This window comes from Homo sapiens, chromosome 10 (genome assembly GCF_000001405.40).
Source record: "Homo sapiens chromosome 10, GRCh38.p14 Primary Assembly".
Lineage (NCBI taxonomy): Eukaryota > Metazoa > Chordata > Mammalia > Primates > Hominidae > Homo > Homo sapiens.
The window spans coordinates 37,615,640-37,638,234 of NC_000010.11; the positions used below are offsets into that span (position 1 = coordinate 37,615,640).

General features: G+C 43.0%; 1 long non-coding RNA gene across 3 annotated transcripts; it reads left to right on the plus strand.

Annotated features, from left to right (window-relative positions):
• Window positions 1–3,535: 3,535 nt before the first annotated feature.
• LOC102724533 (uncharacterized) lies at window positions 3,536–17,283 on the plus strand. 3 transcript variants are annotated; one of them, XR_001747293.1, is made up of 4 exons: window positions 3,536–3,632; window positions 5,715–5,868; window positions 6,053–6,163; window positions 17,091–17,283. It is a non-coding gene; the product is annotated as an uncharacterized LOC102724533 (long non-coding RNA). The 3 variants fall into 3 exon arrangements; XR_001747291.1 differs by lacking the exon at window positions 5,715–5,868 and having other exon boundaries at window positions 3,536–3,740; XR_001747292.1 differs by lacking the exon at window positions 5,715–5,868.
• Window positions 17,284–22,595: the final 5,312 nt, after the last annotated feature.

Consider the following 22,595-nt stretch of genomic DNA (forward strand, 5'->3'; position numbering starts at 1 on the left):
TTCCAACATCTTTGTCATCTCTGGGTCTATAATTAACGACTTTCAAAAAATTCATTATTTATTAGTCACTTTTTCTATATCTAGTAATTAAAATGAAAATTATGCTGGATATGGTGAAATATCACTGCCAACCAGCAACACGATTGTAAGTCTAGTGCCAGACTCCAGTCCCAGACCCTCCCAGCTGCACCAGGTTATTTTCTTATACATCCAGCAATCTCTTAAAGGTAGAACCACCCTCCCTGCAGATACCTAAATTCCCAAGGGTGTTAGGGGACAAGGGAGCAAGAGTACAAAACGGGACTCTCCTTACACTGAGTTAGCTGCTGAGTGGGGAAGATGGAAAAGCAACCTCTCCACCCTGCAAGGCCGCTAGGAAGAGAGCCTACTCAGCTCTCAGGGTGCGCTCTCTGATCTGCCTGTAGTGAGAGATAGCTGTGACAGGTGTAAATACCTCATGTTGTAAATTTCATGAAAGTAATACACCTGGGCCATCTGGCCCAAAACCGCAGCCTGCTGTGCACTCCCCCTCCACACCCCAACTGCTGGGAGAAACACAATGCAAAGCCCACGTGCCTCCAGGGAGGGAAGAGCCAGGGCCACAGACAAGGCCTCCAGACTAGCAAAATCATCCCAGCTACCAGGTCGGAGCCCGGGCTACATGGCAGTTACTGCCGAAGTAAATTTTTTTACATCAATCCATTTACTCTCCTGAATGATGCTATAACTGAGATAATACCCTCATATCACCAATGAAACACAGACGCAAAAAGGCTGTCACATGCTCAGTGTCCTGAGCTCATCAGCAGCTGATCCCTGATTGAAGCCCAGGTCTGTTGACTCCAGTGCTCGCAATTTTTATGACTACACTAAAACATTTTTATCCTTCATTTCCTCCCTGGGTTCCTCTGCTCCCTTTCTCCAAGAGGTGGTAATAAGGGTTTGTTAATGTAAGAAAAATTGGTGATCTGTAAACTCTCAGCCCTAGAAAGTCTAAGCAGAACATTTTCTTAGCCTTTTAGAGGCTGCTGTGGGGCCAGACATCATAGTTAAACAGCTGGAAAAGTCACTTTAATGACTCACCAGGGGTGTACTTTCTTCTTTCCTTTTTTATTTTGGCACTGGCTGTTTGGATTAAAACATGGAAAATGTAATGAAACCTTGTAAAGAGAAGAGTGAAAAAATGACAACAGAAGCTGAGTTCTGAAATGCACTGAGATATGATGACAGACAAAAGCCATCATGGGGATGAAGTGCAGGAGAGTATCTCACTGTGTCTGCGGAAGAGCAGGCCCCCAAAACCAGGAGGCCCTTTATGCCAAACACCCCCACACCTTTACAGATCATGCTGATGTATTTAAGCGTCCATCACCAGTTCATCTGTGTCAGCTGTGGAACCGTGGGACTGATGTTTCAGAAGAACTGTGTTTCGGAGAAACTAGGCTATAACTACAAATTATTCTTACACACAATTCAGGATTTGTGTAGCATTAGGAAGCTGCTTAAAGCAACACCACTAAAGAAACTAACAATAAAAGACAACCTTGAAAAGCATATAATTTTTCAGGAGTTATCAGGAAAAGATCACACTGTAAGACTCCATTATAGTTCCAGCTACTTTTTTATGTATCTGACAGTGACTGCATCCATGTCCACACAGCACATGCTCAAGCACACTAGGTAATTACTGAAAACATGGTTGTGCAATTTAGTGGTGCTTACTGTTGACTCTCCTTTCTGCCCAATCTGTTTTCCCCGATGTCTCTGAGCTGCCAAGAGTGAGATCTGGATCTCAGCTTCAGGTTCAACTCCACCTAGTCCCTAAGCCAATCCTGCCTAAGGCTTATAGAACATCAGGGCCTCCCTTATCTCATGGAGGTTGTGGAAAATGTCTTGTCAGTTCAATAATTCTTGTTCCAAAATACCACTACTATGCCTACCAACCCATGTACCAGTTATCTTTATTACAAAACAAACCATCCCAAAACTCGGTGATACAAAAATCTCCACTCATTTAACTGGTTATGATTTTGGGTCCTTGCAGTGAGAGTGGGGTGTGGCAGGGACAGCTGGGCTCTGCTCATGTGGTATTGCCTGGGTGTCCTCGTGCACCTGCATCAGCCGGCAGCTCAGCTGGGGACAGGCTTACCTTAGGTGGCCTCACTCACCTTCCTGGTGGCCACCTGGGGCTGTTGGCTAAGGCACTTCAGCTCTCTTCCATGTGGCCTCTCATGCTCCAGGAGGCTGGGCAGGGCTCTAGTTCATGATGTAAAAAGCATTTCAAGAAGGCAAGAGCAGAAACTACAAGAGCTCTCGAGGCCTTACTCTGAAGTCATGCCCTGTAATGTCCATGTCGTCTATTGGGCAAAGCAAGTCACAAGGGCAGTCAAGATTCAAGGATCGGAAATTAAGCTCCATCTCTTACTGGGAGGGGCCTCAAAGAACGTGTGAACATTTTTAACCCAACCCAGTGTGTTTACAGCATTAAGTGATGCCCTCTGCTCTGTATATCTACATCCTTTTTTTTTTAAAGAGATAGAGTCCACTCTGTTGCCTAGGGTGGAGTGCAGTGGCACAATCACAGCTCACTTCAGTCTCATTCGAGGCTGGGGTCAAGCAATCCTCCTGCCTCAGCCTTCCAAGTAGCTGGGTCTACAGGGCATAACACCATACCTGACTGACTTTTTAATTTCTTGTAGAGACAGGATCTTGCTATGCTGCCCAGTCTGGTCTCAAACTCCTGGCCTCAGGCAATCCTCCCACCTTGGCCTCCCAAAGCACTGGGATTACAGGCATTACCTGCAGTGCCAGGCCCCATATATCTACATCCTTTGTGATATTGAATCCATTTTCTGATGGACATTGGTTAATTCACTGGGTCTAGAGTCCTATTCTGAGTCACAGCCTGTTGCTGTCCCCTGTTCCTCAGAGAATAACTGTACCCCTAGAGTCTGGCTGGAATTTTTTCTTTTTTCTTTTTTTTTTTTTTGAGATGGAGTCTCGCTTTGTTGCCCAGGCTGGAGTGTAATGGCACGATCTTGGCTCACTGCAAGCTCCGCCTCCTGGGTTCACGCCATTCTCTTGCCTCAGCCTCCTGAATAGATGGGACTACAGGTGCCCACCACCATGCCTGGCTAATTTTTTGTATTTTTAGTAGAGACGGGGTTTCACCGTGTTAGCCAGGATGGTCTTGATCTCCTGACCTCGAGATCTGCCCACCTCGGCCTCCCAAAGTGCTGGGATTACAGGCATGAGCCACTGTGCCCCAAGTCTAGTTGGAATCTTGTTCTGAACAGAAACATATTCTGATCATGACAAAAACACTGTGGCCTTTTTCTTTATCCGTAAAATCAGAGCACCTATATGTTAAAAGATTATTCATCCAACAAATATTTACTAGGCTTCTGCTATATGTCGCTAGACATTAGATACTTTAGTTTCTGATCTTTTGGAGAGATTGGATATTTGCATAGGTAAATTGCATTGTGATGTAATAATTGTGCTACAGAAGTAGGAATAACAAGCTGAAGGGCAACAAGGGCTTGGGAAGCTTGACAAAAGAGGGGATCTTTCAATTGGGTCATTAAGGGTGACTAGGAGTTGCCAATGGATGGTAGAGAAAGGACTTTCAGGTGAAAGAAGGTGCAAAGTTATGGCGAGAAACTAGATCAGACTTAGAAAAACCTAAGCCCTGTTTTATGTGAACATGGAGGAAGGCACAGGGAGGCAAGACTCGGGAGGTTGGTTAAGTCATATGAGAACCACCTAAGTGGAGGGGTTGGGTTTTTATCCTGCAGGCTGGAATCCAGTTGCTAGGTGTTCCCAGACTTGGCTGATCCTCAGATAGCCGGGATGTCAGCCCAGACCAATGAATCAGGAGAGCCTTGGAGCCTGGGAGTCTGAGTTATTAAAAACTACCCCAGTTCCTCTGATGACCAGCCATGCTGGGAGGCATGCCATCATCTAAGAGGGGAGCTCGCAGAAAGGCTTAAAATAGGGAAAGGGAAGTGATGACATTGAGATTTTGTAAAAGTGAGCCCAGCAGCTGTGTGGAGTTGCATGGCAGTGTGGAGAGAATGAGAAACCAGAGGTAAGGCTGGTGCAGTGACCCAAGGAAGACAGTAGTGGTGAGGGTCTGCACCATCAACACAGTTCTATGCAGAAGAGGAGAGTCAGGCTGAAGAGACATTTCTGTGGAAGAATGACCTGAATTTTATAGGGAAGAAGGTGGGGGAAATAAGAGAAATAAAGAAGAACACTATGGTTTCCAGCTCTGAAGTTTAAGTAGACAGGAATGTCATTAAATGGGGTCTGGTATTTAGAAGAACTGACTTGGAGATGAATGAGGGGGCATTTCACCTTGGACATGTGGAATTTGAGATATCAATGAGACACCAGGGTAGATTTGTCCACATAATAGTTGGAAATGTGGATTTGAAGCTTAAAAAGTAGGTAAAGAGCCCTAAATGTAAAGACATCTGCCAAGAGATGGTAGCAGAAGCCATGGCAGTAAATGAGTTGACTGGGCACCATGCAGAGTCTTAATTCTTAGACTCTGAGGTGCACAAGAATCATCTACGAAGGCTGCAGAAGGCACACTCCTTGAATCTCTTCCCAGGGATTCTGATCCAACAGGTCAGGGATGTAGCAAAGGGATGAATATTTGTAATCATAATTCTACAACCATATTCTTAAGAAACACAGATGAAGACAGAACACAGGAAACAGCTGAGGTAATTGCTGAGAGCACCAGAAAATAAGAGAGCAAAGGAGAATCCAGCAATAGGCAGTGTTATGGTCTCAATGATGTCCCCCACCAAATTCATATGTTGAAGTCTTTGCCCCTAGTATCTGGGAATGTACTGTATTAGAAGATATGACCCTTTAAGAGGTAATTACAGCAAAATGAGGTAACATAGGTAGCCAATGTGATGGCTGCCCCTATACATGAAAGAAATTTGGACACAGATATCCAGAGAGGGATGACTATATGAAGATACTAGAAAAAGATAGCCATCTGCAAGCCAAGAAGAGGCCTCAGAAGAAATCAACCCTACTGACACTTTGATCTTGAACTTCCAGCCTCCAGAACTGTGAGGAAATAAGTCTAGGTTGCATAAACCACTTGGTCTGTGGTACAGGGTTATGGAAGCCCTGGCAGACTGTTAGAGAAGCTAAGGCGCAAAAACAGGAAAGTCAGAAATGAAAGCAAGAGGAAGTGTACCAAAAAGATGTGGGAAGGCGTGGTCCACTGTGTCTCATTCTACAAGGAGGTCAAAGACAATAAGACCTGGGAAGAGGATAATTGTGAGGTGATGTCAGCAAGACCAGCATCAGCAGAATTATAAGGCCATAGGGAGGAGATGACTGGAAGCTGGGCCCACAGGGAGCTGTGGACTTCTCCTTCTAGAAGCATGGCAATTGTGAACTGGGCTTTAAGCTGAGGCCTTGAAGTGGGGCACACTTGAAAAATGTTTTTAAGATGGAAGAGTTAAACATATTTGAGAACAAGAAAAAAGACCATCAGATAAAGCTATATGGAAGGCTTTTTAAAAGTTTTTGTTTAAGTCTGGGGTCAACTAGAAAGATGGAAGGAAGCTAGAACACCAGAGTAGAGGGAGAAGAAGGAAGAAAGAGAAAGGAAGGAAGAATGAGGAGGAGAAGGGGTATAAAGTATGGGAGAAAGAGGAGGTTACACTTTTTTTCTACCACAGAAAAAGCAGAAAAAGATGGATGAAATGATAAATGAATTTGACATGGAAGATTGGGAAGGGAGGAAGTTGACAATCTGTACTCCTGAAAATAGGCATATTCTGTTCTAGTAAAGTAGAAGGTGTGGTTATCAGCTGGGAGAATTAGGGTCGGCAGGTGGGTGAATTTTTCTTTAGATTAACTGTACACATGGAATATGTTGAATGGGAACCTGTATGCTTGCAGTGAAGTGTAATGCTTGCAGTGAAGTGTGATGATGCAGGATAACCTAATTTTATCCAATTCCCCAAATAAAAAAAAGGGACCTTGGAGCCAATAACTTCTAACATTTTCTCTTCAGTGGATGAACTGCATCTGAAATTGGTCCAACCTGGCTGCACAAGGAACTCTTTGGTCAACACAATTCTTAAAATTAGAGGGTATGAGATGAGAAAGAGAACCATCTGGGCATGTGAGTATGCAGCCATTTTATATGATTGAGGATGGGCTTTCCTGCATTCAGCTTCCAGGTCTCCATTAGGTTTCTTATCTATGTCAATACGGTTGTGGGTAGCAATAAGAGAGGCAAAAATAAAGAAGATTTAGTGTTTGATCTTATATAGGTCACAATCTAATAGGAAAAAGAGAAATTGCATTCAGCATAAGTGCTGTCCTGGAGGAGGGCCTCAGAAGCCCTCGGTGGCTTCTTCCACTCCTGATACCCACTCACCTTGTGATAAGAGCTTTGCTGACTGTTAGCCACTGCTTATGAACTTGGCTGCTTTAATGGAGACCCCTGAAAATTTTTACAAAGGGCTTGAAGACCAAAGTAGTGAATTCCTAATGATGGAATTTCAGACCCTGTGACAACTGAATGCAATTTGGAGGAAACAGATGTTGCTTGATGCCGGTTAATCAACCTCTCCATGTCCACAGATGTATCAGGACCCAGGGTTTGACTGACCCGTCACATGGTCTGGCAGCACCTACAGTGGTTGAAATCAGGACCACCCAAGCACGCCCAGGATCCACTGGCATCTTTCACTGTCAGTATGGTCATCTTGTCCTTGCCATGCAAAAGGCATCCCACTCCTCAGACTGACCACATTTGTAGCTGGCCGATCTGTTTCTTGGCAACCAGAAGGCAAGCTGTTGTGTCTGCCAGCCTTCCCCACTGGTCATGTGTCTCGCTCCCCATGACCAATGGGGAAAACCAATATTACTGGTGAAAACCGGTATTACACTGAGCCCCAGCCCTTGCTGTGGTGGTGGATGTGGCCAGGAAATTAAACACACACATGTTCATTCAGGCTCCTGATTTTGCAAACACATTGTGACAAGTAGCACACCATCCTGAGCAGTACCACAAAGCCTTTGGTTTTGATTACATGAAACACCTCTGGTTAAAAAAACAAAGAGAGAGCACTAATTTTTTTTAAGCATCATGCAGTTGCAGACTGCAGATTTTGAGGGAAGCCCTGTGCACCCTGCCTAGAGGTCTGTGTGGAGCACTCTTCAATGTTGTGAGCTGAATTCTGCCTTTAGTTAGGCCAACCCTCCTAGCAACAGGAAGCCAGAATGGGAATCTTTTCCCACACATAGCTCAGCAGTGCTAAAATTTCCCAGACAGAGGGAAAAATGATGATCTTCCCTCATCTCTGGCTGTATTTATCTATAAGGCAGCTATTTGATATGTTGCATTCCTCTGTTGTAAATAAATCAATGAAGTGAGCCTTCCAGGTTATAGTTTTACTGTCAAGTATCAGGTGTCATGATCCATATCTTGATACAATAAAGTTAAGACTCTAGATCTAGTTAGAGTCACCTGTCAAAATAGCTGGGCTGTGCTGATGAACAGCCTGGCAGGACTGGTGCTATGGCCTTAAAGAGGCAAGCAGTATAAAAATCAATAGACATTTTGTTGAGTTACCATGATTTTTAGGGTGCCTTGCAAGAAGATAAGGAAAACAGCCAAGGGCAGGCATATGGAAGGCCTTTTTGTCACATTCTATGCCCAAGTCTTCCACTATTCTCTGCTGAAACACACTTATTGGAATGTGTTTTAAGTATTCTCAACCTGTCCTTTCTTCAGCTGCCACTTTCTATCCCTAAGTGTTCCACTATTCTCTGCTGAAATACACTTACTGGAATGTGTTTTAAGTATTTTCAACCTGTCCTTTCTGCAGCCACCATCACCCCTTCCACTCCTTAGATTTACCTTGTGGTGTCTAATGCTAGTCCTAGAAAACCTGAATGCAGGGAACACCCGGTGATTTATACATAAATGTGCGGTTAAGCCAATGTGATCCCTGTTCCCATTGCATTTTCAACCTGGTCTCTAAGCAAAGAAAGGAGAGGGAGACTTTGACCTTGTCTTATTTACCTTTGATTACTTTTCTTTGCCTATGGAGTAAAGTCCAAATTCCTGAACATTCAATCAACAAACATTTGAGCCCTTAACATTTTTTTTTGAGCCTTTGTATTTTCCATTATCGTTTTCCCTCGGGCCCGTGAGTTATTGTGTTTTCCAGATGTAACTAGGCTTGAGGCTGTCTTCCTGTGATTGACTTCTAACATTATTGCATTGTGATTAGAGAGCATGTCCTGCTTATCATCTCTGCTATTTTTTTTTTTTTTTGAGACAGAGTCTCGCTCTGTTGCCCAGGCTGGAGTGCAGTGGCGCGATCTCAGCTCACTGCAAGCTCCGCCTCCCGGGTTCACGCCATTCTCCTGCCTCAGCCTCCTGAGTAGCTGGGACCACAGGCACCCGCCACCACTCCCAGCTAATATTTTGTATTTTTAGTAGAGACGGGGTTTCACCGTGGCCCTTAACATTTTTATAGTATTGCCCTAATATATAGTATAACCCTATAAAAAAAACTCATCTATCAACAAAAGACATGGAGGACAAACCATAAATGTTTGCTGAAAGAACAAATAAGAGAGTGAACCAAGGTGTAAAAAAAAAGGCATATATTATTTCCCTATTTGTGTGAGCATTCTCATTGCAGAGGTAAAATATTTATTTAGAGTTATCATAACCATGTTTAAATCAATTAAGAAATAGGCAAGGAGCAGGAAGATGGAAATCAAGAGTATGTTCATTGCTGAGAATGACTCGGTTGGAAAATGTGTGTTGTGAGGCAATAATGGACTTCCTAACATGAATTCCCAGAATAAGACAAACCCACCTAGTCACAAACACATGTTGAAGTTGTCCCAAGGAAACTTCTCAAGCAGAGAAGCAAACTATAATGTATCTGGCAGCCTGGCTCCTGAGAGAGGAGGAGAGGGGAAAGGGACAAACTATGCCCTTTTTTTTATCCTGGTGTTACCAATCAGAGCGAGAAGCCAGAGTACTCAGGGAAAAATTCCTGCCTCCTGGAAACAAGAGGAGCTGGGAATAAGTGTTCCTCTCCCATTATAATTCATCATGAAAGCTAACACAATATGTGAATATGTAATTGCCTGACAAAAGACTAGTGTGGACAAGAATTTTAGGGAGGTACCATGCTGGAGTAAGGGAACAAACCAGGCCTGAGTCTTAAAGGGAGGATTTGAATAGAGAAAGAGGTGTTCTGGCCGGGTGCAGTGGCTCACGCCTGTAATCCCAGCACTTTGGGAGGACGAGGCAGGCGGATCACGAGGTCAGGAGATCGAGAAAGAGGTGTTCTTAGGACTGGAGGGAAGGTATTGGAACGGTGTTTGGGGAAGCTGGAAGTGAGCATAGAATTATCTGGCCTGACTTCCCCTCCCCATCCCTATCTCATCAGGCTCCAGCCACACCATTTGCACTCATCACTCCCTACACATGCCTCTCACGTCCTAGTCCCTGTATCTCTGGCTGCACTGGTCTGTGTGGCTGCCTGCCCTCCTACCTCACCTCTACCTGCAGGTACCCGAAAGATCCTCTGACATCTACCTCAAAGGCTGCTCCTCAAGAACACCCTTCTAGACTTCCTTGCTACCTGCTCCCCAAGTGGAATTCTGTGCTCCACTCCTGGATCTCACCTGGCTTTTCCTTCCGACACTTATCATATTCTGCACTGTTTCTTAGTCATTATTAAATACACCTGTCTCCCCAACAAGACTATAAAATCTGGATGGGCACAGTGGCTCACACCTGTAATCCAAGCACTTTGGGAGGCCTAGGTGGGCGGATTACTTGATGTCAGGAGTTTGAGACCAGCCTGGCCAATGTGGTGAAACCCCATCTCTACTAAAAATACAAAAATTAGCCAGGCATGATGATGGGCGCCTGTAGTCCCAGCTACTCTGGGAGGCTGAGGCAGGAGAATCACTTGAACCTGGAAGGCAGAGGTCGCAGTGAGCTGAGATCACACCACCATACTCCAGCCTGAGCAACAAGAGTGAAACTCGGTCTTGAAAAAATAAAGAAATAAAAAAAAAAGACTATAAAATCCAGTAGGATAAGGAACCTGTCTTTTTACCCCTCAAAAATCTAGGACCACCTGTGTTCAGTGAATGTATTTTTAATTATAGAAATCTCAAGCATTGGAGTATTATTTGGATAAAAATTAATCTTAGTTTCTGAAAAATCCTTCATAACCATGCATCTTAAAAGAAGCAGAGAAGCTTCACCAGCCCTGCCTCGTTTCTCTTATAATTAACAAAAGAGCAAGTTAGGCCTTTTAAAAAACTGCAAGTTGGGGTCCCAGAATCAACTGCTATCACTATCTGTAGCTCAAATGGTGAAATTAACTCAGGTGTCCTTAAGGGTAGGTTTTTAGGCACAGGAAAAATATGGTTACTTTGGACTTTATTATGATTTACTAAAGCTACTAATCAAAACTCTATGTTTCACCTAAGCTTTTAAATTTAATTTATAATTTAATAAGGAGCTTTAAAGATTTATAATCTTATAAATGTTAATTATTTATAACATATTATTTATAATATAAATTTAACAACTATTCATAAGGAGTCTTCTACAACTTCATTAATTGCCTTAAACTGCATATCTAAATGTAAAATATTTGATTTCTCTTATGTTCCTCAACTACCTCTAAGAACTAGAACCTTTCTAAAATATGTTTGTATAAATGAAATAAATTTAATGCATACGTTGGACAAATTTTTAGATTTTATTAATATATTAACACTGTTTACTACAATTAGTAAACTTAGAACTTTTGACTTAAAAGCACAATAATATCAACTATATTTTAAATTTGAATCATGAGCCCTATTTGTTAGATATCTTGATTTGGCCAGTATTTAAATTACCCAAACATGTACTAATAGATGATTCTTAAATACCGTATTGTGGGTCAGGTTTATTTAATTATTTCTGTAACTATGCTCATCATTCCCAGGGTTAAAAGGTGTTTATGGATTTCCAAACAAGTGGGTGTTTCCAGCTTGTTCCAATTTAGTTGATCAAGATTAATTATTAACCAGAGAAATTTGGGGCTGAGGTGCAAAAGAAATCAAATTCCTGGGCTTCAGCAATCCTCCTGCCTCAGCCTCCCAAAGTGCTAGGATTACAGGTGTGAGCCATCGTGCCTCAATCCCAATTCTTAAAGATAGCAATATGACACCCTGTTGGGTTCTGCATATCTCTCATGGCTTTGTGCAACTCTTTAGTTGTAATATTAAAGTCATGCTATGAAAGACAAATATGGGAAAAGATGTCTTACACTGCAGCTCCTGACCTTACTCAAACCGGACTCCCTCTTTGAATACTCCTGATGTTCCCTCCCTTGCTCTGCTTTTTCTGTAGCACCTACCACCTTCAAACATGATATAACATCATTTGTTTATTAAATTTTCTCCCCACTAACTAAACTATGAGCTCTATGAGGGCAGGGAGTTTTGCTGTCTTGCCCAATGATACATCCTTGCACCTAGAACAGTGCTTGACAGTTATTAGGCACTCAACAAAGATATGTTGAATCACTGATCATGAGAGAAATGCAAATCAAAACCACAATGAGATACCATCTCACGCCAGTCAGAATGGCAATTATTAAAAAGTCAAGAAGCAACAGATGCTGGGGAGGCTGTGGAGAAATAAGAACGATTTTACACTGTTGGTGGGAATGTAAATTTGTTCAACCATTGTGGAAGACCATGTGGTGATTCCTCAGATATCTAGAAGCAGAAATACCGTTTGACTCAGCAATCCCATTACTGGGTATATACCCAAAGGAATATAAATCATTCTATTATAAAGATACATGCATGCATATGTTCATTGCAGCACTATTCACAATAGCAAAGACATAGAATCAACCTACGTACTCATCAATGATAGACTGGATAAAGAAAATATGGTACATATACACTGTGGAATACTATGCAGCCATTAAAAAGAATGAGGTCATGTCCTTTGCAGGGACATGGATGGGACTAGAAGCCATTATCCTCAGCAACCTAATGCAGGAACAGAAAATCAAATACCACATGTTCTCACTTATAAGTGGGAGCTGAACAATGAGAACACATGGACACATGGTGGGGAACAACACATGCTGGGGCCTGTTGGGGAGGGGTTGGGGAAGGAGAGCATAAGGAAGAATAGCTAATGGATGCTCTGCTTAATACCTAGATGATGAGTTGATCTGTGTAGCAAACACATGTTTACCTATGTAACAAATCTGCACATCCTGCACATGTACCCTGGAACTTAAAATAAAAGTTGACAGAAAAAAAGAAAAAAAACATATACAATAGAGCAATGAAAAAATAAAATGCAATTACCACATTTTTAAAAAATTAATTTTATGTCTTAAAGTGGCCAGGGTCTAAGATATCCTGTTATTTTCTTTCTTTTTTTAAATTATACTTTAAGTTTTAGGGTACATGTGCACAATGTGCAGGTTAGTTACACATGTATACATGTGCCATGTTGGTGTCCTGCACCCATTAACTCGTCATTTAACATTAGGTATATCTCCTAATGCTATCCCTCCCCCCTCCCCCCACCCCACAGCAGGCCCCAGTGTGTGATATTCCCCTTCCTGTGTCCATGTGTTCTCATTGTTCAGTTCCCACCTATGAGTGAGAACATGTGGTGTTTGGTATTTTGTCCTTGCGATAGTTTGCTGAGAATGATGGTTTCCAGCTTCATCCATGTCCCTACAAAGGACATGAATTCATCCTTTTTTATGGCTGCATAGTATTCCATGGTGTATATGTGCCACATTTTCTTAATCCAGTCTATCATTGTTGGACATTTGGCTTTATTCCAAGTCTTTGCTATTGTGAATAGTACCGCAATAAACATACGTGTGCATCTATCTTTAAAGCAGCATGATTTACAAGCCTTTGGGTATATACCTAGTAATGGGATTTCTGGGTCAAATGGTATTTCTAGTTCTAGATCCCTGAGGAATTGCCACACTGACTTCCACAATGGTTGAACTAGTTTACAGTCCCACCAACAGGGCAAAAGTGTTCCTATTTCTCCACATCCTCTCCAGCACCTGTTGTTTCCTTTTTAATGATCACCATTCTAACTGGTGTGAGATGGTATCTCATTGTGGTTTTAATTTGCGTTTCTCTGATGGCCAGTAATGATAAGCATTTTTTTCATGTGTCTTTTGGCTGCATAAATGTCTTCTTTTGAGAAGTGTCTGAGTATCTGTTCATATCCTTCATCCACTTTTTGATAGGGTTGTTTGTTTCTTTTCTTGTAAATTTGTTAGAGTTCATTGTAGATTCTGGATATTAGCCCTTTGTCAGATGAGTAGATTGCAAAAATTTTCTCCCATTCTGTAGGTTGCCTGTTCACTCTGATGGTAGTTTCTTTTGCTGTGCAGAAGCTCTTTAGTTTAATTAGATCCCATTTGTCAATTTTGGCTTTGTTGCCATTGCTTTTGGTGTTTTAGACATGAAGTCCTTGCCCATGCCTATGTCTCGAATGGTATTGCCTAGGTTTTCTTCTAGGGTTTTTATGGTTTTAGGTCTAACATTTAAGTCTTTAATCCATCTTAAATTAATTTTTGTATAAGGTGTAAGGAAAGGATCCAGTTTCAGCTTTCTCCATATGGCTAGCCAGTTTTCCCAGCACCATTTATTAAATAGGGAATCCTTTCCCCATTGCTTGTTTTTGTCAGATTTGTCAAAGATCAGATAGTTGTAGATATGCGGCATTATTTCTGAGGGCTCTGTTCTGTTCCATTGGTCTATATCTCTGTTTTGGTACCAGTACCATGCTGTTTTGGTTACTGTAGCCTTGTAGTATAGTTTGAAGTCAGGTAGCATGATGCCTCCCACCTCGTTCTTTTGGCTTAGGATTGACTTGGCCATGCGGGCTTTTTTTTGGTTCCATGTGAACTTTAAAGCAGTTTTTTCCAATTCTGTGAAGAAAGTCATTGGTAGCTTGATGGGGATGGCATTGAATCTATAAATTACCTTGGGCAGTATGGCCATTTTCATGATATTGATTCTTCCTACCCATGAGCATGGAATATTCTTCCATTTGTTTGTATCCTCTTTTATTTCATTGAGCAGTGGTTTGCAGTTCTCCTTGAAGAGGTCCTTCACATCCCTTGTAAGTTGGATTCCTAGGTATTTTATTCTCTTTGAAGCAATTGTGAATGGGAGTTCACTCATGATTTGGCTCTCTGTTTGTCTCCTTTTGGTGTATAAGAATGCTTGTGATTTCTGCACATTGATTTTTTATCCTGAGACTTTGCTGAAGTTGCTTATCAGCTTAAGAGATTTTGGGCTGAGACGATGGGGTTTTCTAGATATACAATCATGTCATCTGCAAACAGAGACAATTTGACTTCCTCTTTTCCTAACTGAATACCCTTTATTTCCTTCTCCTGCCTGATTGCCCTGGCCAGAACTTCCAACACTATGTTGAATAGGAGTGGTGAGACAGGGCATCCCTGTCTTGTGCCAGTTTTCAAAGGGAATACTTCCAGTTTTTGCCCATTCACCATGATATTGGCTGTGGGTTTGTCATAAATAGCTCTTATTATTTTGAGATACGTCCCATCAATACCTAATTTATTGAGTTTTTAGCATGAAGGGTTGTTGAATTTTGTCAAAGGCCTTTTCTGCATCTATTGAGATAATCATGTGGTTTTTGTCATTGGTTCTGTGGATATGCTGGATTACAGGTATTGATTTGCACATGTTGAGCCAGCCTTGCATCACAGGGATGAAGCCCACTTGATCATGGTGGATAAGCTTTTTGATATGCTGCTGGATTTGGTTTGCCAGTATTTTATTGAGGATTTTTGCATCAATATTCATCAGGGATATTGGTCTAAAATGCTCTTTTTTTGTTGTGTCTCTGCCAGGCTTTGGTATCAGGATGATGCTGGCCTCATAAAATGAGTTAGGGAGGATTCCCTCTGTTTCTGTTGATTGGAATAATTTCAGAAGGAATAGTACCAGCTCCTCCTTGTACCTCTGGTAGAATTTGGCTGTGAATCCATCTGGTCCTGGACTTTTTTTGGTTGGTAAGCTATTAATTTTTGCCTCAATTTCAGGGCCTGTTATTGGTCTATTCAGAGATTCAACTTCTTCCTAGTTGAGTCTTGGGAGGGTGTATGTGTCGAGGAATTTATCCATTTCTTCTAGATTTTCTAGTTTATTTACATAGAAGTGTTTATAGTATTCTCTGATGGTAGTTTGTATTTCTGTGGGATCAGTGGTGATATCCCCTTTATCATTTTTTATTGCATCTATTTGATTCTTCTCTCTTTTCTTCTTTATTAGTCTTGCTAGCAGTCTATCAATTTTGTTGATCTTTTCAAAAAACCAGCTCCTGGATTCATTGATTTTTTGAAGGGTTTTTTGTGTCTCTATTTCCTTCAGTTCTGCTCTGATCTTAGTTATTTCTTGCCTTCTGCTAGCTTTTGAATGTGTTTGCTCTTGCTTCTCTAGTTCCTTTAATTGTGATGTTAGGGTGTCAATTTTAGATCTTTCCTGCTTTTGTGGGCATTTAGTGCTATAAATTTCCCTCTACACACTGCTTTAAATGTGTCCCAAAGATTCTGGCATGTTGTGTCTTTGTTCTCATCAGTTTCAAAGAACATCTTTATTTCTGCCTTCATTTTGTTATGTATCCAGCAGTCATTCAGGAGCAGGTTGTTCAGTTTCCACGTAGTTGAGCGGTTTTGAGTGAGTTTCTTAATCGTGAGTTCTAGTTTGATTGCACTGTGGTCTGAGAGATAGTTTGTTATAATTTCTGTTCTTTTACATTTGCTGAGGAATGCTTTACTTCCAACTATGTGGTCAATTTTGGAATAAGTGTGTTGTGGTGCTGAGAAGAATGTATATTCTGTTGATTTGGGGTGGAGAGTTCTGTAGATGTCTATTAGGTCTGCTTGGTGCAGAATTGAGTTCAATTCCTGGATATCCTTGTTAACTTTCTGTCTTGTTGATCTGTCTAATGTCGACAGTTTGGTATTAAAGTCTCCCATTATTATTGTGTGGGAGTCTAAGTCTCTTTGTAGGTCTCTAAGGACTTGCTTTATGAATCTGGGAGCTCCTGTATTGGGTGGCTATATATTTAGGATAGTTAGTTCTTCTTGTTGAATTGATCCCTTTACCATTATGTAATGGCCTTCTTTGTCTCTTTTGATCTCTGTTGGTTTAAAGTCTGTTTTATCAGAGACTAGGATTGCAACCCCTGCCTTTTCTGTTTTTTTCTTAAAATAGAAATACAGAAGCTACACTACTGGGAAATCAATAAAAGCCCAAAGCCTGATGTGTAGACATTTTAAATATGTTATTTCTATTGTACAGGATATTGTTCAAACATTTGAGTCTGCTAACAGTATTAAACAGAGCCAAGAGGAAAAAAAAAAAGGGCATGGCTATAAGCTGGATTGGCTACATAATTTGCACAGCCCATTGTAAAATGAAAATATAAAGCCCAGTTCAGAAGTTGTGAAGAATTTCAACATGGTAACAGCAGAATATTAGACCAAACATGGGCCCCATCTAAATAAGCATGCGGCCCTGTGCAACAACACAAACCACGAAGCCATAAAGCTGACCCTGAATGTGAGTGCGTATATGTATGTGTGGTGGTACATGGTACATGGAATGGTAATCATTTTTGTGCATCTTTCTGACCTACTTCGTTGTAAACTTGTGAACAGGGTTTGCATGTTCTTCATCTTTCTACCTCCAGTACTTAGCACAGTGCCTGGCAACAAACCAATAGATGTTTGCTTGAATGGACATAGAAATGGTTATAAAAGAATGCTCTGACAAAGAGCAAAGAGCATTTCAAATTCAGAATACGCTTTTAGCCACTGCTATCCCATGGATGGACTATGTTCATCACTAAAGGTGTAAGGTATTTTCAGTATTCATGTCTCATTTGGGAATCCTTGGGTCTGGAATTATTCTTGAAAACATCCATTAAAGAGTCATTAGCTATTCTTAGAGCATCTCTTTTTTTACAGAGAGAATTGGCACCAAGCAAGAGCAAGGAACCAGACATCAGTTACGGAAAATGTATCCCCACATCACATCATGGGAGCCTAGCTCACAGACACTGCCAATGGAAATTGCAGAAATAGATCAACTGCAAAAGGTTACATAGGGGACCCGCATGCTACATTAACTCTCTGTGAATAAATTACATGTAAAATTTGAGAACATGTTTTCATCAAATAAGTATTTGTGAAGGTAAATTTTAAGTTATGCCATGTGCATAATTTCATTGCATTGGTACCATATGAATAAGTATCTTCATAAAGATACTTTGTGAACAAGTCAAGAAGACAAAATAATTGTTACTAGTATTTACTTTTGTCCTTAAACACAGAGCTAAGATCTCTTTCTATTGACATTATATCCTCTATATCCCTAAAATAATCTAAATCATTAATTATAGAATTAATCAGTAAGGAATTTAAAACTAAGCTGGAAAGGCATGAAACAGGATGGATGGAGCAGAGGGATGTTGTTCCCCAGGATGAGAAAGAGAGAAAGGTCTTGCATTACCAAGGGTGAGTCTGGGTGACTGAGAGGTCACAAACTGATGAGTGAAGATAGAGTCAAGACAGAAAAATAAAGTCAGGAAAGCCAGTGCTGGTGGGGAAACAAACATTCAAAGCATAACTCACAGTTCTGGAAAAAACCCAGTATTTTCAGTCTCTGTCAGAACATAAATCAGATTTGCAGTTAAATATTTGACCGTTTACCTGAGGACAGTAAGTCTCAGGGAAAAGCACGTCCACATGTGCCTCCTCGGTGGGTTCTAGAATTCTTCCCTCTTCCATTCCCCAAATATGTATCAGTGTAATGTCTGAGCAGGGGAGTGCAGAGCAGGCAAGACACATAGAGAGGCACCAGGAAGGGAAATCTGTGCATCATTCCTTGTGTCACTAAGACAGCACCACAGAAGAGGTAAGCACAGAGCATGGTGGGTGAGATGCAATTTTTTTTTTTTTTTGAGACAGAGTCTCACTCTGTTACCCAGGCTGGAGTGCAGTGGCACTACCTTGGCTCACTGAAACCTTCATCTCCCGGGTTCAAGTGATTCTCCTGCCTCAACCTCCCGAGTAGCTGAGATTACAGGTATGCACAACCACACCCAACTAATTTTTGTATTTTTAGTAGAGACAGGGTTTCACCATGTTGGCCAGGCTGGTCTCAAACTCCTGACCTCAAGTGATCCATCTGCCTCAGCCTCCCAAAATGCTGGGATTACAGGTGTGACATCTCCATGAGATAGGGAAAAGCCAGAGGGAGCCTCTTAGCCTCCCAGAACACAATCGCATCCAGGAGGTACTTCTTTCTCCTATCTCTGCCATAGCCAGGCAGGACCAACAGACCCAGAGCTGTTGGAGCAGAAGAAGTGGAAGGGTCTTGCAGAAGGTGTGTAAAGCAGAAGACAACAGCTGCTGAAGCAGCACAATACAGTGACATCCTAGGAGGGAGGCCAAGGAGCTCACTCAGCTTAGAGGGCTTGGGGATTGACAGTGAGCTGCAAGATGTCCCCACGAGTCCGTTTCCTTGCCCATAATGAGAGGTGACAACGTGCCAGCAGCCTCGCTCGCTCTCGGCACCTTCTCGGCCTCGGTGTCTGCTCTGGCCATGCTTGAGGAGCCCTTCAGCCTGCCGCTGCACTGTGGGAGCCCCTCTCTGGGCTGGCCGAGGCCAGAGCCGGCTCCCTCTGCTTGTGGGGAGGTGTGGAGGGAGAGGCACGGGTGGGAAACAGGGCTGCACAAGCAGTGCTCACCCGCCAGCGTGAGTTCCAGGTGGGCGCGGGCTCAGTAGGCCCCACGCTAGGAGCGGCCAGCCAGCACCACCAGCCCCAGGCAGTGAGGGGCTTAGCACCTGTGCCAGCAGCTGCAGAGGGTGCGCTGGGTCCCCCAGCACTGCCGGTCCGCCCACGCTGTGCTCAAATTCTCAGTGAGCCTCCACTGCCTCCCTGCCTGCAGGGCTCGAAACCTGCAGCCTGCCATGACTGAGCGTGTGGCCCGAGCATGCGTGTGTGGTAGGGAGCACAGGTGGGGGCTGGTGCAGTGGGAGGCGGGGGCTAGATGAGACTAGGGTGAGAGCCCCTTGGTCAGGGCTGCCTGCTGCCCACAGAAGCACAGGGCAGTGAAGGTGCCCAGGAGCAGGTAGTTGGGTTGACTCAGGTTGGAGGGCCCGCTGAGGGTCAGCAGAAGAATGAGGGGTGGTGAGGGGCACTCCAGGCATGGTGGTGAGGTAGAGAGATGAGAGGCCTTTGCATTTTGCATATTCTGTTGGGGGAGGAAATGGTGAGCCATCAAGGGCTATTGGCAACCTCTCCGTAAACCAGCCTAGGAAATGCTGAAGGAGAGAGACTCAGAGCAAATATAGACCCACAGGGATGCCTGGGGCACAGACAGGGTCGGTTCAGGTTGCCGGGGATGCCATGGCACAAGTGGAGGACAGCTGGGAGCCTCCACGTGGTGCTGTCCCCCTTCTGCTCTCTTGGCTGAGCCAGGGCAAGGGGCAGGCTCCTCTAAGCTGGCAGTGGCTGCTCTGCCCCTGTACAGCAGGTATCAGAGTAGGCAGTTCAGGCCCAACACAAAACCCAAACATGCCTGCAGGAGCAGCTCCCAGCTGCACCCAGCTCCTAAAGGACACACCTGTGCCATAGATGACAGACAGAGCAGGACTTAGAACAAGTGACCAAAGTCCTCAGAGGACTTCATTGTAAGGGAGCATGCAATGAACATGAGCTCAAAAGAAGCAGCTCTCATGACAAACCAGTTGGAGATGTTGGGTGTAAAAAATATAATTTATAGATAGAATAGAATTCATAAATATAATGTATGAAACTGTAATATAATTCTAAATAAATATAATTGTTGAAAGGGGCTGGAAGATTTCACCAAAGGACTCTCCAGAAAGTATCAGGAGGGTATAAGGAGGTGGGAGGCAGGTTGAGAGGTGAGGAAGGTGGAACAAGACGGCCCCTGTCCGTCTCCGAGGAGTACTGGGAAGAAAGGAAGAATACGGGGCAGGAGAATATATATGAAGAAGGGCTGGCAGAGAATTTCCAAGAACTAAACACAGACACAAGACTTTAGATGGAAGTGTTCCCAGAGTGGCAAGCACACACACCAGAAAAATTAGAATCACAGAGGGAAAAACAGTTACAGAGAAACAAGAGTGAGTCTGACCTCAGAGTTCTCAAGGCCCCACAGAAGGCAGAAGACCAAGTCATCAGGTCAGTGGGGAGCATGGACAGGAGGTGTGAAGTGGGTATAGCTAAAAAATGAGAAGGATCGAATTGGAATTTCAGCCCAATATACCATTAGTGTGCACCACTAATGCCCACATAAATGATGCTTTGTATTTTTCTTATCTTCAAATACATGGAAATACAGCTGACCCTTAAACAATGTGGGGGCTAGGGGCACTGAACTCCCTCACAGTTGAAAATTTGCATATAACTTTTGACCTCCCCAAAACTACTAACAGCCTACTGTTCACCGAAGACTTACCAATAACACATACAGTCAATGAACACATGTTTTATAGGTTATATATATTATATTTTGTATTCTTTATTTTATTTTTATTTTTTGTTTACCCACACTACACAGATGTATCACATGCTGTATTCTTCAATGAAGTAGACTAGAGAAAAGAAAGTGGTATTGAGAAAATAATTAGCAAGACAAATGTATTTACTCATTAAGTGGAAGTGGAGCATCATAAAGTTCTTTATCATTGTCTTAAGCAGGCTGAGGAGGAGGAGGAAGAGAAGGAAAAGGTCTTGCTTTCTCAGGGGTGTCAGAGGCAGAAGAAAATCTGTGTGTAAGTGGATGTGTGTGGTTCAAACCCATGTTGTTCAAAGGTCAACTGTAAGTAAGTGGCATGTGGCCTGGAGAGGTACCACATATACAGGGAGGCTGCTGATGTAAGTGTGTGAGGAAGGAGATGGGGACACAGGAGAAGGGGTTAGACCAACACAATAGTAGCAGGGGCTGAAGTGGGGCCTTCACAGGCAGATGAAAAGGAGGGGGAAGGGAGGCACCCTGCCAACTGGGGACCACATAGCTTTGTACATCTGAAAGCTACTTAAAACAGGGAAATTTTATCACCTCTAGACCTGTAGGGAGGGAAAGGAAATAAGGAAACACAGTCTACTGGGGACCAAGAAAAAAGTGGTGGAAAGAAAGTAAGATGGTAAAAGTCATTGAAAATATCCTTAAGACAGTAAAATGTAATGATGTTACAGGACCACCAGGTTCCTACACCTGCTCCGCAGTTACAGACCAATGCACCAAGACAGCAGGCTTTGCAGCAGAGAAAGAGTTTACCGATCTCAGGGTGGCTGAGTGAGGGAGGAGGGACCCTCACTTCATCTCTCTGAGGAGTTTTGGGGTGGAATTTTTAAAGGATCATGGAGGGCAAGGGGTGGAAAATTGGGGCCACTGATTGGTTGGGGTAAAGAGGATGCAATCATCAGGGTGTGGACACTGCATGCTCTGGTGAGTCAACTGCTTGTGGGGTCCCTCAGACCAGATGCAGTCAGCTGTTTGATTGGCTTGCAGGACCTAAAAGGATATCTCAAGTGGACAGCTTAACACTTCACAATGTTCAAGTTGGTATCTATAGCGGATAGTTGTTACCTATCTGAACTTAGGAGAACTGGAGTCTTGTAACTGATTTTAAGGTGATTCTGAGGCAGTATGCATGGAATGGCAGTGAGGAAGGGTCAGAGAGCGAGCTGGCCTAGAAGCCAATGCTCAGGACCCTGCAAGCTTGGTTTATTTTCCTTTCTCTCCCTCCCTTATTTCTTAATTAATTTTATAAAACCTATAGGGATGGATTCGATAAGATTAAACTCATCTATTCAAAACACGGATTCTCAGGCTGTATATATATGTGTGTGTGTGTGTGTGTGTGTGTGTTTAAAGCAAGCTATCTGCTATGACATGTTAACAGAAAGGAAGTGGGTGTGGGAAGCGACCAGTAAGGCAGGGAGAGGTGCATGGGGTGGGGTTTGGGTTGCTACCAGGTAACTTGGAAGGAGGTTACCCACCTGGAAGATGCAGCCACCAGCCTCAGTGAGACAACAGCAAACCTAGCACATCCCCAGGCATGGTGGGAACTTTGAACATACCTTGCTCCGAAAATTTGCATCAAACAGAATAAAAATCATGAAAATAAAGAGACCTGAAATATAGACTTTAAGTTTGGGCTGCTGGGCAGATACAGAATCCTGCACCCCATGTGCAGGGCATTCACATTTTTTCCAGCACAGATGGAACATTTATAATACTGACCATGAAGGTGGCCAAAAAGGAGGCCGGGCATGGTGGCTCACGCCTGTAATCCCAGCACTTTGGGAGGCCGAGGCGGGAGATCACGAGGTCAGGAGATTGAGACTATCCTGGCTAACACAGTGAAACCCCGTCTCTACTAAAAATACAGAAAAATTAGCTGGGTGTGGTGGCGGGTGCCTGTAGTCCCAG